General features: G+C 40.8%; 1 long non-coding RNA gene across 1 annotated transcript, besides 1 other annotated feature; it reads left to right on the forward strand.

Annotated features, from left to right (window-relative positions):
- Positions 1,437-1,686: an enhancer, noted in NCBI's record as "active region_13056". NCBI's record gives its function as "activates an Ori minimal core promoter by ATAC-STARR-seq in GM12878 lymphoblastoid cells {active_cell/tissue: GM12878}" and the evidence as "EXISTENCE:reporter gene assay evidence [ECO:0000049][PMID:35858748]".
- LOC107985144 (uncharacterized) lies at positions 1,568-10,027 on the forward strand. Its single transcript, XR_001753330.2, has 3 exons — positions 1,568-1,663; positions 2,848-2,976; positions 8,462-10,027. It is a non-coding gene; the product is annotated as an uncharacterized LOC107985144 (long non-coding RNA).
- The last annotated feature ends 6,807 nt before the right edge of the window (positions 10,028-16,834 follow it).

Raw genomic sequence — 16,834 nt, forward strand, 5'->3', positions numbered from 1 at the left:
CTGCTGCGCCTTGAGTTCTCATTGTTTCAAAAAGTTCCAGGGAGAAGCTCAACTCAGGAAAAACAGAAACTGGTTGGATCCAGAGGTACCTGAGTTGGAGATGAACTTTGGGGAACTCCACTCATTACCATACTAAATCCCTGCTCAGGGAGGAGCTTACTAGCCATGTTCTATACATGTGACATATGTAGAAGCATGATCAGGTCTATGCCTGGTCTACCTTTATTCTGCCTCTACATGCAATGACTCAGCTAACCAGCCCAATACAAGCTCTGTTTTCACCATTTTTCTGGGAGGCACTGCTTTGAGAACTATCCCTGGTGCCCTTCTTACTTGTTGCAAATAATAAAATCCCCTTGTTAAATTTTCCTCGGTTGCAGTCATTAGTGTGTGACCCACCAGGTGATCAAACCCACCTGTTGTGTGTGTAAAATCTAGTTACACTCAAGTGATCAGCAGGTAAAGGAAACCCACATAATCATCAGTTCATCAACTATAGTGTATTTACTTTATCCTTTTCCCAAAAATCAGGTGCTCTCTATGGATCTCCAGCATTTACAGATCTATGAAAGATTTTACCAGTCTACTAAATATTCCCACCCTTGGGCCAAACTTACCCAATTGAGGCAAATATATTAGTAGGCCAAACATATTTCTAGAACAAAAGGAAAGAAATGAAGAATCCAATTTTTAAAAGGATACGAGTGTATTAAATTACAGAGACACCAAGAATGAGAAAGATGTCTCTCACTCCAGAAATTCATGCTTCCTTGAGTGAAAACAGGAGGAAAAGTTTGAGATGAGAAGGAAGAGGAAGCCGCTGCTCAGTGGGCAAACCATCCTATCAAAACGATTTTGTAGTTGCTTTATTTTCTTTTATGACCACTTAATTTTATACTTGCAGTGCAATTGGGACTTAGTAGATTTGGAAATTAATATTGAAATGCTTTTGTAGTGAATATAGCACCAAATATACCCTATATTGACACTAAAAACTGACACTATACTTGCTTTGCATTTGCATACACATTCATTGCAGCAACCTTGTACAATTCCATTTTAGAAGGGAGGAAATGAAGGGCCAGATAAATTATGATAGGATTTGAAATCCAGAAGCCCTTCCATGTAGCCTACACCCTTATTTCACAGATTCAAAGACAGAAACCTAGAGATGTCAAACTAGCACTCACAGCTAGTTAGCGGCAGAGCATGGACGTAATCTCTGGTCCTCTAGTTCTCCAGGCCTGCTAGCTGGCTTCTTTAGAGTAATAAAGCCAGCAGTGAATGCCTACACAGTACTTGTCATGGGTCAAGATCAGTATTGTTTCAAGCACTTCACACATATTAACTCATTATTCCCACAACACCCTGTGAGGTGGGTCTTCCCATTTACAGGTGATGAAATGGGAGCACTTAGAAATTAAACAAGTGTGCCTAGCATCATACACCTAGCAAATGGCAGGCTTCGGATGTGAACCCAGATTGCAACACCCCAGTGCCTCTTAACCACTATGCCAAACGCCTGAACTCAGATGCTGATTTCCTCCTTTCTTAGTTTCATTTTCTCACTGACGAATAGAAAACTTTAAATAGTTGTTACTGTCTTAAGCATGCATAGGAGTTTCACATGGCTAGATGCAATGAACCTGGAGATTTTCCCAAGGTAAGCTGAAATAATATTATCTCTTGTGGCACTTGGTGCTGTTGCTGAACTTCTCTTTACACTGTTCCCTTTCATAGCACGTTGAAAAGAGGCTCCTGCTTCAATCCAGCCATTTACTCCACAAAGGTATATTGAACACCTGTTATGCAGAAGGGATTATAATCCCTGCTCTCAAGGAGACTATAACTTAGTCATGGTGTGAAGTGAGGAATTTGGGATGGTAGAGGTAAAATTTTTTTACAATACAAGAGCAAAAGGATCAGTTGTTTTTAAAAAATGATATAGCAAATCATGGGCTGTAGTCTCCAATAGGTTAATAAGTACACAATTAAATATAAGATAGAGTTGTAATAACATTTTAGAAGAGAGACAGTGATCATGACTTTGAAAGTAATAAATACAGTAATAATGGCTAATGTAAGACACAATGGTTTGTAACAGTTAGTTCATTTATCTTCAACAGAAGGACAATTTTTAACATTTTTTAAAAACTGTGTGCCGAAGTTTGTTTCATACTTTTCAAAGAGAAAGGACTTGATCATATCTGTATGTGAGGAAAAGCAAATTGCACAATGTTTGAAATTAATGACTAGATACATTTTCTTCTGCCCCCAAACAAGCCTCTATTTCCCCAAAACAAAAATTTTCTAAAGTACCTTGGAATATCCTGGTAATCTCTGGAAGTTGAAAATATTTTAGTACCCGAGATTTAAGCCAGAAACAATTTTGTTTTTATCTGCTGGCAAGAGGGAAGTTATAATATATTCTTTAATAGTATAAAGTCTACAAAAGGGGATCTAATAATAGATTCTACAAAAATCTTTATTGTGGAATGCTGATTGTACTTTAAACTTCAAGCCCAGGTAATATGCATGCATTTATACTGTTCAGATTTTATTATTTATGCCTCTGACATAAGTTAAAGAGCCAGCAGCTAGGCAGTAAATAGAAACAATTATTTATTACCTAGCCGGCATTTTTATTCATTTTTGCTGACTCATAAATTCCCTGATCTGCTCACATTAAGCCAACGTGTCTTTATTTGCATGCAGTCAAAAGGAGGAATTATGACTCTGAAATCAGGAGATCTCTCCCTTAGCTGCCGTGACTCTATGGGGCACACATTGATGGCTAGATTGTCATTTGTTCATTTTTGCCTTTGCTATTATTTTCTCCCCACACAGATTGCTTGCCAAATGTTTCTGGAAACAGCATGGTCGTTTCCACTTGGAACAACTCACTGTTGGATGCTTATATTTCTTCCGCTGTCAACTTCAGTAACTTGGTCAGAATGACGCCAGCTCTAGTCACAAGTAAATCATTGCTTCATATGAAATTCCTCATTTTTATTGTAGAGGGTGTTAAATACAATCTTGACTCATAAAGTGATTTATTTCCTCAGTGAGTACAAAGCACATTAATCCAATATCTCCAAAATCACTGTAGTCACCAGAGAGGCCAGATTGAACTCTATATCCAAATTATCTCTAGAATCCTTTATGTAACCTGAATCCTTCCTCTCTACACTTGTGTTAGAAGAACAAATATTACTCTCAGGAGCTTTTAGTTGAAACAGTCATCATGATATTTTTGTACAGTGCTGTGTAATCAACATGCATGCATGTATTTCACTCGGGTTTTCTACATTTTATGTACATGTACAAAACATTAACAGGTTGGAAGAGTAGGTATTTTAGAAATGGAAAAGCTAAGACTCAGAAGCTAGAAGGCTTGTCCAGGGTGACACAGGCAGCAAGCGGCCTTTGGCAAGTGTCAGAATCTCCTGACTCCCTGACCACTGCCCCTTCTCATACCATGGTCCCCCAACAAGCCAAAGACAGCTAAGGTTAAAAATAGAGGTAATGTGTTGGACAATTCACAAAAAGATCTCATTGCTGGGATGCATAAACATATTTGACCATTAATCTGTTACCTTAAAAAAAAAAAAACCATGATTGGCTGGGCGCAGTGGCCTGTAATCCTAGCAATTTGGGAGGCCAAGGCAGGAGTATTGCTCAAGCTCAGGAGTTTGAGACCAGCCTGGGAAACATGATGAAAACTTGTCTTTACAAAAAATACAGAAAATTAGCTGGGCATAGTGGCACGTGCTTGTAGTCCCAGCTACTTGGGAGGCTGAGATGGGAGGCTCATCTGAGCCCAGGAAGGCCGAGGCTGCAGTGAGCCCTGATGGCACCACTGCACTCCAGCCTGAGTGACAGAGTGAGAACTTGTCTCAAAAAAAAAAAAACCAAAACCCCATGATCTTGGGTAAAGAACTAAGCCACACAAGGTGGCTCAGTCTTCAAGCACTAGCAGGCTGCAACTCAGTTACTGGTTTCCTCTTACTGCTTTCTCCCCTCTTTGACTTCAGCTACATTTCCTTTTAAAAATGTGTATTTATTTATTTATTTTGAGATGGAGTCTCTCTGTGTCATCCAGGCTAGAGTGCAGTGGCCTGCGATCTTGGCTCACTGCAATCTCCACCTCCCAGGTTCAAGCGATTCTTCTGCCTCAGCCTCCTGAGTAGCTGCGATTACAGGCATGCACCACCACGTCTGGCTAATTTTTGTATTTTTAGTAGAGACGGGGTTTTGCCATGTTGGCCGGGCTGGTCTTGAACTCCTGACCTCAGGTTATCCACCTGCTTCGGCTTCCCAAAGTGCTGGGATCACAGACGTGAGCCACTGCTCCTGGCCCTACATTTCCTTTAACTTGTCCTATTTGTCTTCTGCCTTTCCCCTATTTTAGATCCCTTTTATTTGATGTCTTTAGTCCCTTAGGTTTCTTCCACTCCTTTAACCAATTCCATTTGATAAAGATGCCCTTTTGTCTAATGTTGCTTTTTCTCTCAGACAGTGAAAATTGTGTGAGCTTTGAAACTTTATCAACCTAGGATGGAACCTCAATTCAGTTGCCTGCTATGTGACTTCAGGAAAGTACAATATTTCCCCCATGCAGAAAATCAGATAAATTAGAACTCACTTCATCCAGTTGCTATGAGCTTTTTAATGATAATTAAATTGCTATATGCACAGTGCCTGGCACAGGGAAGGTAATCCAAAAGGTAAATTCCATTCCCTTGATATGATCATATTCCATCCTCTGTGTGCATTTGGGACACTTATTTTGTATTTACAGTGCACTGCAATGATGGCCAAGAGGCTAATCATGAAAAAAACAAGGCTAAGATGAATGCAATACACATCCTCTAAATATAATAGCTATCTGGTCCAACATCTGTATTATCACGATGAATTTAGATAGAAGCATATAAAATTGCCTACTAGAGTGAAAATCTCTTAGTAATTTATACATGCAAATAGCTTAAACCTTACATTTAGAAAATTGTGAAAAATATATTCTTTTCACAATCCAGTGCCACAAGGCTTATTCCAAAAAGATGCATGAACCTGGCCAGGCGTGGTGGCTCATGCCTGTAATCCCAGCACTTTGAGAGGCCAAGGCAGGCAGATCACGAGGTCAGGAGTTTAAGACCAGCCTGACCAGCATGGTGAAACCACGTCTCTACTAAAAATACAAAAATTAGCTTGGCATGGTGACATGCGTCTGTAATCCCAGCTACTCAGGAGGCTGAGGCAGGAGAATTGTTTGAACCTGGGAGGCAGAGGTTGCAGTGGGCTGAGATAGTGCCACTGCACTCCAGCCTGGGTGACAGAGTGAGACTCCATCTCAAAAAAAAAAAAAAAAAAAATGCATGAACCTAAGTATACCTAGGTAGTCTATCATTCATTTGTTATTAAATAAACATTTACTGAATTTCTGTTTAATATCTGACTTCCTGGAGCCTAGGTTAGTTTCCACAGAGAAAAGCGCCCAAAAGTTACAATGGGCATTATTGATTGAATTCTAATGCATTCCCAGTTGATGTGGAGCAACCAAAGATAGGCTTCAAGGAAATTTGGAATCCACATGATTTCAAAATAGACGGGAAACTAAGGAATCCTTGCCACTGTGGAGCTATTTCATGATGGCAGGTATTAGGTTTGGAAGGTGGAAATGGCTCCTTGGGCTCAGTGTCCCCAGTGCTATTTCTACCAGACTTCATGGTTTTACATATCCATTCCATGCCTCTGGGCCCAGATTCCTGGACATCCTTTGGAAAATGACAAAAGAACGTTTCTCTTAATTTGGTCTCTAATTTTAATCATGAATGTCAAGGTAAAAAAACCCTTAGATCATCTAGTCGAAGCCTCTATTTTATAGGTAAGGAAACTGAGGCCTAGAGCAGCAGAGACTTATCTAAATCATACATCTGGTCAGAAGCAGAGAGGGACTGGGTTGACTATGGGGCAGAGACATCAGACAGAGAGTGTTGCCTTTTGAGCAGAAAGTGCCATGATAAAATCAGTGCTTGGCTCCTTAAGCTAGGCTTTAAGCCTTCAGAAGTGTACATGGTGAATTAACCTAATGCAAATGATGCGAGAGTGGTCAAGATGCTTGCATGAGAATGCTGCTTTTTGTGCAATATTTTAAGAGTATGAGCTGTAAAACCTAAGAAAAAAGGCATATTATGAAGTTTACATACATTTTTTCCCTCCAAAAATGACAAATTCTTTATTGGTGAGAATTTTAGGCTGCAAGTTTGAAGTCAAAGGTCATCACTGCTAAGGGAAGTTCTCTTTCAGAAAGATGTTCAGGGAGAGTTGTAGAGACTGATAAATTCCCATATCATGTTTCTAAATATCTTGCATATGACATACAGGTCTCCTTATAAGAAAGAAAAGGCCTGACAATGGGAAATGATCATGATTCAACATTAAGTGAGATAGTGTGATTTCAAATATTTAAAACACTTACACATGGAAAAACTGAAAAACAGTATTCCAAAATATTAATAGCAGTTATCTCTGAATTGTGGCTGATTTGTTTCCTTTTTAACATTTTTTGGCACTTGCTAATTTTCTGAGACCAGCCTGACCAACATGGTGAAACCCCGTCTCTACTAAAAATACAAAAATTAGCTGGGTGTGGTGATGTGTGCCTGTAATCCCAGCTACTCAGGAGGCTGAGTAATAAATGTACATTACATTTATTCTTTAAAAGATTGGGCCAGGCACAGTGGTTCATTCCTGTAGTCCCAGCTATTCGGGAGGTTGAGGCGGGAGGATCACTTGAACCCAGGAGTTCAAGGCTGCGGTGAACTATGATTGCACCACTGCACTGCAGCCTGGAAGTTTTTTCCAAATGTATATATAATATGTACGTGTGTGTGTGAATATGTCTACACACTCACACTTATCTTCATGTTTTAAAAGAGCCATTATCTGACTTAGTGTCAGTTATCATAACCATATCATACCCAGAGTATAGTTACCAAACGAGACAGAAAGTTAAAAAGGATATCCAGGAATTGAACTCAGCTCTGCACCAAGCAGACCTAATAGACACCAACAGAACTCTCCACCCCAAATCAACAGAATATACATTCTTCTCAGAACCTGGGGTATTCTTTAAGATGGGGTAGGGAGTACAGCTGGACCCCAGGCAGATAGCACCACCCACTCCCCTCTCTTTTTCCTCACCCTACTACCCACAGACTTTCAAGTCTGAGGAAAACCCCCACCTTCTTCTACCCTGTTACTAGATAACTTTCTTTCCAATACTCTGACCAACCCTTACCCCTCACCATTTGTGAGTGGGGGTGGTTGGGTGGGGGAAGAAAAATCTTCATAGTTTAGGTTGGCTTAGACTTCGGGAATGTAAAATAAACATCTGGCGGGGGTGGGAGAGGGCTGGGAAACTTTCATTAATACAAGTGTATTAATATTAGTCACAGCTGTAATCCCAGAGCTTTGGGAGGCCAAGGTGGGAGGATTGCTTGAGCCCAGGAGTTTAAGACCAGCCCGGGCAACACAGCGAGATGCCATATCTAAAAAAAGAAAAAAGTCAGAAACAAGTTGAACCCTGTTTGCTGACTTCAAAAAAGAGAGTTCCAGCAGAGGAGTATTAAAAGGATATGCTTTGATGAAATCATGACAATCCAAGGTTTTATAGGAGGACAAACCAGCAATTTGAGGGCCCTGGGTCTTTTTCCTTCGGAACTGTCTCAGCCTCCTGCTCTCCTGCTTCCCAGCCACCGTCCACATGTCCTTATTCTGTGGAAATGGCTGAATTCTTCATCCACTTTCCAGCCTAGGTAGCAGACACCAGCCCAAAGATAATTTCACGTGAGCCCAAAGACATAGAGACAGGGAGGGGCGGCTCCTGAGAAGCAAACACACAGGACCACGCCTGGTGACAAAGGTAGTTTTTCTGCCATGCTGAAGTTAACTGAGCCCTGAGTAGGTTGCCACATAAAACCCAGGACATTCCCGTACAATTTGAATTTCAGATAAACAATGAATATATTTGTATGCAAGTATGCATACTTACACTAAAAATTATTGGTTGTTTATCTGCAATACAAATTTAGCTAAGCATCCTGTATTTTTACTTGCTAAATTTGTTAATCCTAAATCCTGAGTAAAGTGATGAGATCCAACAAAATAAAACGTTCACCCAATTTAAACACTTAAATAAATTCTACTGACAGTCCAGTTCTAATGTTAATTTTCTTATTTTAAAGGTCTGTATTTCACAGTATTCTCAGCTTATATTATTTTGGGATCTGTAAACTTCAGTAACATCTTTTACTTGTTAGAATGTAAATTATTTTAATAATAATCTGTGATTATTTACATAATTTATATCACTGTAATTAAGCTTTAAGTACTTACAATATGTATCTTCCCTATTTAAGAATAATTCTAATTGATAGCAAATTCTTTTCTTTTTCAGAATGAGCCTTTCAATCATAGAGAGACTGAAAGACTGAGACTGCATTTATTTCAGAAAGTGATTGGTGCAGAGGTATGATGATATATTTTCAGTGTGTCTATCAAGAAGGTGGTGTTGAAATATCTGTGGCAATATTGGCAAGGAGTCAGTCTCTTGCTATTTCACAATGGCCTTAATCCTAGTGATGGCAATTTCTTCTTGCAACAAAGAAAGACAGTGACACCAAAGGAGAAATATTCAAAGTGGGATGAAAGGGGTTGACATTAGAAAAGACTTCATGGTGATTGGAAAAAAATGGAAAAAGATTTTGAAAGCACTCCATCACAGGGCACACTACAATCACAAACTTCATGCCTTACACAGTTTCCTTTCCTGTCATACTAACTGTGCTTCTTCAACATCTCCTGGGAACCAGAAGAAAGAGCAAGGTTTCCAAACACCAATAGGTGAATTCAAGCAACCCACATCTAGATGGAGCACCACTCAATAATGCTCAAAAGCCAGATGAGAGACAACGTGCAATTGCCTTATCCCAAATGGTTAACAGCTGTGTTCAAATACTCCACCAAGGAGTTTGGCCAAGCATGCAGCAAGAAACAGATGGAATAGAGTGCCTCAGTCAGTGCAGTAGAAAAGCCATAGGATTAAAAGGTCAGAATTTTGGACACAACTCTGCCAGCAACTAACGTTGGCCTGGGCAAATTTCTCAGGTTCTCCCTCTGTAGAATGAAGACATTGAATAAGACTAAACAGGTGCGTTCTCTGTCAGGCTAAACTCCAAAGAAACTTAATTCAATTATTTTTTCCCCAAAACCTCAATTCCCTTGCCTCCCTTTTTCCCCCATGCCTACCTGGCAAAGGCCCAACCCTCAATCATGCCAACTATTTCTAATCTCTGAACTACCAACTCCTGGACAACTGAGAACCACAGGAGAAAGTGGCACCACTGAGGTCAGTGCCTCACCAGATCCCTAGCCAGCAGCCCACCCTCACTCAGCAAAGGCCCTGTCCTCAGTTTAGAGAAGTCAGGGAACTCCCTCAAGTCCCTCCTGGTTTGCTCTGCTGGCTCACTCCCAATGCATTAATTGTTTTCCTCTTCCTGTCTCAGCAGAAAAGGATCTTGCCCTAGATGATGCTTCATTATCATTGCTCTACGAGATAACTTTCTTCTCTTCTATTTTATCGGAAGATTCCCTCAGCATGATATATTTATATCATCTATTTTTAAGAAAAAAAAAAAAAAAAAAAAAAAAAACAACCCTCTCTTATCTGCCCTTTCCTGCTGTTTCCTTTCTTAAGACTTAAGCTCTCTGAAAGAGTAGTCTGTATTTATCATTTCCACTTTCTTATTTTAATTCTCTCTTCCACTCACTTCTATCTGTTTTCTGCTACCAACACCCCAGCGAGCACCTCCTAAGGTCATCACCTGTCTTATTGTTAAATCTAGTCGGCACTTTCTAGCCCACAGGCCTAATAGCACTTTGCACTAAAATGTGTGCTCTGAAATGACCTTTCTCTTGGCTTTTATGATCTCTGTCTCCCCTTCTGCTCTCTCCCCTCCATCCTACCACCCAGTCTATTCCTTACATGTTGATATCCCCAAGGGTAGTGTTCCAGGCTCTTATTCCCTGGCTGGATTTACATACCAAGTTTCCAATATGCTTAACTTTTCCAAAACTGAACTCATCATTATGCTGTTTAAACCCTCTATTTCTTTCTCATCTGGGGGGATCAGCAGGTACCTAATCATTGATAACAGAAATCTTAGCACCACACTTAAATTCACCATTCCTCACACCTCAATTATAATTGGTCACTGAATCATATCAATTCCATCTCTTTAGTGTCATCTTCATTATCAGGCAGATCTAATCTGGTCAGCCACCAACCCGTGACACCCAACTGAAAACCTGTACAGGTTCTAGAGCACCTATAAGATAAAGCTTACCTCTTTGCCATGGACCTCAAGGCCTTTTTAAAGCCATTCTTTCCATACCTCATTGATCTCATCTCCAACCTCTCTCCTCTGTTGCATCCTAGAGTTTTGCTAAAACAAATGCCTGAGGTCTCAAAAATGTGCCATGCTCTCATGCTGACAGGAACCTTGCACCTGCTTATCCTTTCTGCTGGAATTCTCTCACAAATCCTCGGTTTCCCATTTCAGCTGCCCAACTTGTACTCATGTCTCAAGACTCAGTCCTCTCCACCTACAAATCTTTCTCGGTGCCCAGTCCAAGTTGCTGCTCCTCCTATGTGCTCCCCAAGGTCACTGCTTCATTTTACCTTGCATCAGTTTTCCAGAATGGCCACAACAAACTACTACAAGTCTGGGTGGTTAAAATAGAAGAAGTTGGCCAGGCGCGGTGGTTCATGCCTGTAATTCCAGCACTTTGGGAGGCCAAGGCAGGTAGACTGGTTCAAGCCAGGAGTTCGAGACCAGCCTAGCCAACATGATGAAACCCCATGTCTACTAAAACTACAAAAATTAGCCAGGCGTGGTGGCACATGCCTGTAATTGAAGCTACTCAGAAGCCTGAGGCATGAGAATCATTTGAACGACTTTGCAGTGAGCTGAGATCATGCCACTGCACTCCAGCCTGGGTGACAGTGTGAGACTCTGTCTCAAAAAACAGAAGAAATTTATTCTCTCATAGTTCTAGATGCTCGAAGTCCACAATCACAGTGTCTCTCTGAAGACTCCAGGGAACATTCTTTCCTTGCCTCTTCTAGCCCCTGGTATCCCAGACAACCCTTGATGTTCTTTGGCTTGCAAATGCCTCACTCTAATCTCTGCCTCTGTCTTCACCTGATCCTCTCTGTGTCATCTCCTCTCCTTATAAGGACACCAGTCATTAGATTTAGGGCCTATCAAGTGTGACCTGATCTTAAGTAATTACATTTACACAGACCCATTACCAAATAAGATCACAATTTTTTTAAAATTTTTAATTTTTATTTTTAGAGACAGGATATTGCTCTGTTGCCCAGGTGAGAGTGCAGTGGTATGATCCTAGCTCACTGCAGCCTTGAACTCTTGGGCTCATGTGATCCTCCTCAATCAGCCTCCCAAGCGGCTAGGACTGCAGATGTGTGTCGCCAAGCCCAGATAATTTTTGGGAGACATGAGGTCTCACTGTGTTGCCCAGGCTGCTCTCAAACTCTTGGCCTCAAGTGATTCTGCCACCTTGGCCTCCCTCAGCACTAGGATTATAGGCATGAGCTACTGTGCCCAGACAGTATTACATTCTGAGGTTCCAGTTGGACATGAATTTTATGGCGGCACAATATTCAACCCACTACATGTCATGACATTTGTAATACTGTAATGAAGGAGTCTATTTTTCCATTTCCCCCATCAGACAGTGAGGTCTTTGAGGATGGATCCATGTAATACTCATCTTTGAATTTTTGCTGTCTAATTCAATGTCTAGCATATAGCAGAAATTTTAAATGTTCTTGAAAATGCAATTATGTGCTTGTATGATTTTCTCTTTTAACAATTAAATTTTCCCTAATTTGATACAACTAACTTCTTTCTAGTTTAACTTTATTTGTACTTCACTTTCTGTCCTTTGAGTTTTTATTGCACCTACAATATATCCTGTACATAACATCTTTTAATTCAGTCATAAACAGTTCCTATAAAACACAAGGGTTCCAAAGAAAAATATGAGAGAGAAGCAATGGACGCATGAAGTCAACAGACAGCTAAAAAATAAAAAATAGATGGAAGTGAGACATAGTTTACTATGAAATATCTGGTCCTCCAGGTACTTCTTCAAGCATTATATTACCAGAGACTTTCAGTTATAATTCCTTACATTTTAGATATTGTATAAACCTTCTAGCTGCCTTGAACAAAGGCATTTTCAATGAGGTACTATATTAGTATTGCTACAGGTGTGAAATTAAGTGTAAGTAAGTGTGAGATACAGGCTAAGCTTCTACAATAAAGAAACTAAAAAAACCCACTGGCCCCAACAAGGTAAAAGTTTGTTTTTGTATATAATAGCCATAGTTAGATAGTTCAGGGGAGCTTGCACGGGGGAGGGGTCTGCACCATGGACTCAACTTCCTCCTACCATGATGCTCTGCCATGCTCCAGAGCTGCTCCATCCAATATGGCAGCCAACGCCCACGTGTGGCTATTCAGCTCTTAAAATGTAGCTAGTCCAAATTAGGATATGTTGTAAGTATAAATGTTGTATTTAAAAGATTGGTGGGAATAAAAAAAGGCATAATCAATCTCATTAATAATTTTCTATTGATTGCATTTTGAAATAATATTTTGAATGTACTGAGTTAAAAATGTTATTAAATTTAATTTCATCCATTTCTTTGTATTTTTTTAAAGCTTACAAATTTTTACTTACATTTGTGGCTCACGCTATATTTCTATGAAACAGTGCTGTTCTAGAATATAGTGTATCATCCTCCTCTGTATGGTAAAAGCTGATTTACAGTACTACATACCTGGTCAGCTAGCAGGAAAAAGGGAAGAAAAAAAAGTAGAGAGCCAAGCATTCTTTTAAGGAAATGATATATTATTTGCACACATCAGTTCACTCATATTTCATTGGTGAGACCTTGGTCACATGGCCCTACCAAGCAGCTCAGAATGCAAGGAAATGCGGTGCGTGGATGCGCAGCCACGTGCCATACTGGAAAGAAAGGTGGGGGAGCAAAGGGGAAGAATGGATTCTGGGGTGGCAAATACAAACTAGTATTTGTTAGTATCAAGTGTGAACTGATCTTATGTAATTACATTTACAAAGACCCATTTCCAAATAAGATCACTTTTTTAAGTTTTATTTTTAGAGACAGGGTCTTGCTCTGTTGCCCAGGCAAGAGTCCAGTATTGTGATCCTAGCTCACTGCAGCCTTGAACTCTTGGGCTCATGTGATCCTCCCTGATCAGCCTCCCAAGCAGCTAGGACTATTGTGCCACCACATCCAGATAATTTTTTTTTTTTTTATGGAGTCTCACTCTGTTGCCAGGCTGGAGTGCAGTGGCGTGATCTTGGCTCACTGCAACCTCCGCCTCCCGGGTTCAAGCAATTCTCCTGCCTCAGCCTCCCAAGTAGCTGGGATTACAGGTGTGCGCCACCACGCCTGGCTAATTTTCGTATTTTTAGTAGAGACCGGGTTTCACCATGTTGGCCAGGATGGTCTCAATCTCCTGACCTCGTGATCCGCCTGCCTTGGCCCCCCAAAGTGTTGGGATTACAGGCATGAGACACCACGCCTGGCCCCAGATAGTTTTTTTTGGGTAGAGATGAGGTCTCACTGTGTTGCCCAAGTTGTTCTCAAACTCCTGGCCTCAAGTGATTCTGCCACCTTGGCCTCCCTCAGCACTGGGACTATAGGCATGAGCTACTATTCCCAGACAAGATCACATTCTGAGGTTCCAGTTGAACATGAATTTTGTGGTGGGGGGGGCACTATTCAACTCACTACATGTCATAACATCTATAATACCGTAATGAAGGAGTCTATTTTCCCAATTCCCCCATTGGACAGTGAGGTCTTTGAGGATGGGACCTCATGTGATCCTCTGTCAGGTATGTTTCTTTAAAAAGGTATCAAGTTGACTTTAAGGAAGGGAGTTTAAAGGGCTTCCCTGAGAGTGACAATGGGGAAAAATGAAGTAAGAGGATATCCAGAAACCTAATGAAAAATAACCAAACTAAAATATTTCAGCATCTAGACTGAGAAAGTAAAACAAGGAAAACGGGATAAACAATGGCTCGGGGCAAAAAGGCACTGGCAGAAGGAAAGATGCCCTTGCACTCTAGACAGTGTGGAACAGGGAGGGAGGAGGGATACCTGCATAGCCACCTTCCTGATTCTGTAACTGGGGCCCAGGAAGTTTGGTTATGGCTCTGATCCCAAATGCTGGAGAAGTGATATGGGAAATCAATAGAAAACTGAGATCTAAAGAGCTTGGAGTTGCTCAGATTGACAAGAAGAGAAAGTAGACAATTATGGCAGGAAGGAAAGTTCAGTGATGGAGTCCTGTGAAGATGGTAACTTAAACACGTACCTTTGACTTCAACTCCCTCTTAACTCCTTTTCTGTAGGGATACTTCAGCAAAGGATGAAAGCTAGCAGAGCACCTAGGACACGTATGAAGCTGTAGAGTCTAACAGGATCTCAGGAAGAAGGTAAATTACCTTCAGAGTAGAGTGCTTGATTGTCACTGAGGCCAGAGATTAAAAACCAGATCGTGTGATTTCAGAGGGTCCAGATGTCTCTAACACTATTTGTATTCCTGTTACCCTAGAAGGGTCTGTCAGCCTTTGCTCACTCAAGTCCATTGAAGGAAAGTCTATTGAGTGACTGAGTTATTTAGTGTCCATTGTTGAGGAAAAGCTACATCTTATTCTTAGGAAGGCCTGACAGCAAAGAGGGTTCTTCCTTCTGTCTTAAGTGGGTGTTTGGATTCTGACAAGGTTTATTTTAACCACCTATTTATGATAATAGAATTTTCTGTCTCTTCCACTATTAATTGTTTGACACTGCTCCAGAGACCCTCAGGGCTTGAGTGAGGCAATCCTGAACCATAACCAGCTTCAAAAAACAAATCACATAAGAAGTCTTAGAAACCAGAGGTATATGAAATTGACTCTCAGTACAGTTAGCTAATAGAAAAGCAGGAAAAAATACTTTAAAATTACTTTCGTGGTAAAACTACTAGAGCATCTAAGAAAACCAGCTAAAATAAAAATTTGTATTTGACCTGAAAAAACCAGTAGTGATCTGAAGATCAATCGAAAGAAATAGTAGTAGATAAGGTAGAAATATAAAGAGATGAAAACTGTGGGAGGAAAGATAGGAGGTATGAAAAGATGAAGCCTGGGAGACTATATATTCAAGGAATAGGATGTTCAAAGATGAAAAAGTAATACACAGAGAAGAATAATTAACAGGAAGAATTCTTTTTTCTAATTTGAAGGGAAAAAATTGAGAATATAATGAAAGGACAGAATGAATCCCATCAGGATTAATGGTCACACACACACACACACACACACACACACACCCTAGTAAAACTTCTGAGCTCCAAGTTAAAGAGAACACATTGGATACTACACAGAAGGAGAAAAAAACAGACTAATGTCAGACTTCTCATTGGTAACACTAGTTGAAAAGAGAACAGATCTAAAAAAACCATTATACATCAGAGCTATATTTCATCTCTTCCAGAATAAAAGGCATTTTCAGATAAGCCAATATACATATTTTATGCTGCCCAAATACCGTATCCAAGGAACTTACTGAAGCATGCAATTAAATCAAGTGAAATGAAAGTTGAGTGCAATTAAATCAGAACATAGATCTCAAGATAGGGAATGATGAAGACAGAACATAAAGGTGCACAATAAATATATATACACATATATATGTTTGTAATGAAAATATTGAAAGAAAAAGAGCATATTGTGTGAGGGTCCAAGATGGCAGATTAGAAGAAGCTGCAGTCCATGGCTGTCATGGAGAAGAATGAAAACAGTGAGTGAATTCAGCACCTTCAACAGAAATACCCAGGTTCCTGCATTGGGACTGACTAGGTGGACAACTTGACCTTCAGAGAATGAAGAAAGGCGGGGTGGGGCAACAAGCCACCTGGGAGCAGCACAGAGCCAGAGGAACTCCTGCTCCCAACCAAGGGGAGTGGTGAGTGATTGTGCAACCCTGCCCAGGAAACCACACTTCTCCCATGGATCTTTGCAAACCATGGATCAAGAGATCCCCTCGTGAGCCCATACTACCAGGGCCTTGGCTCTGATCCACAGCGTTGCCCAGAATCTTGGCAGAGCAGCCGCTCAGGCACACACAGAGACCCAGGAGTTTTACATACTCCAGCCCCGGAAATCCCGGTGAGGTGGGAGATTCATCTGTACATTACCCTAGAAAGGGGGTGGAATCCAGGAAGCCAAGCAGCATCATTCTGCAGGCCCAACTTCCGCAACACCTCACAAGTTAAGATCCACTGGCTTGGAATTCCAGCCAGCCAGCTACACCAGGCTGGAGAGACTGCCTGAGATGGACCAACTTCTAGTGGGAAGGGGCGACCACTGTCACTATTGTTCAGTCGACTCAGCCATTCTAGCCTGCTGGCTCCAGAGAGTCCAGGCGGTCCAGAGAAGGAGGAGTCCCCCACAATGCAGCATAGCTGCTGTATTTTTGAAAAAAATTAATAAAATAGATAGACCACTATCTAGACTAACAAAGAAGAAAAGGGAGAATAATCAAATAGACACAATCAGAAATGTTAAGGGGATATCGCTACTGATCCCACAGAAATACAAACAACAATCAGAATATTATAAACACCTGTATGCACATAAACTAGAAAATCTAGAAGACTGG

The sequence above is a fragment of the Homo sapiens genome, chromosome 18 (genome assembly GCF_000001405.40).
Source record: "Homo sapiens chromosome 18, GRCh38.p14 Primary Assembly".
Lineage (NCBI taxonomy): Eukaryota > Metazoa > Chordata > Mammalia > Primates > Hominidae > Homo > Homo sapiens.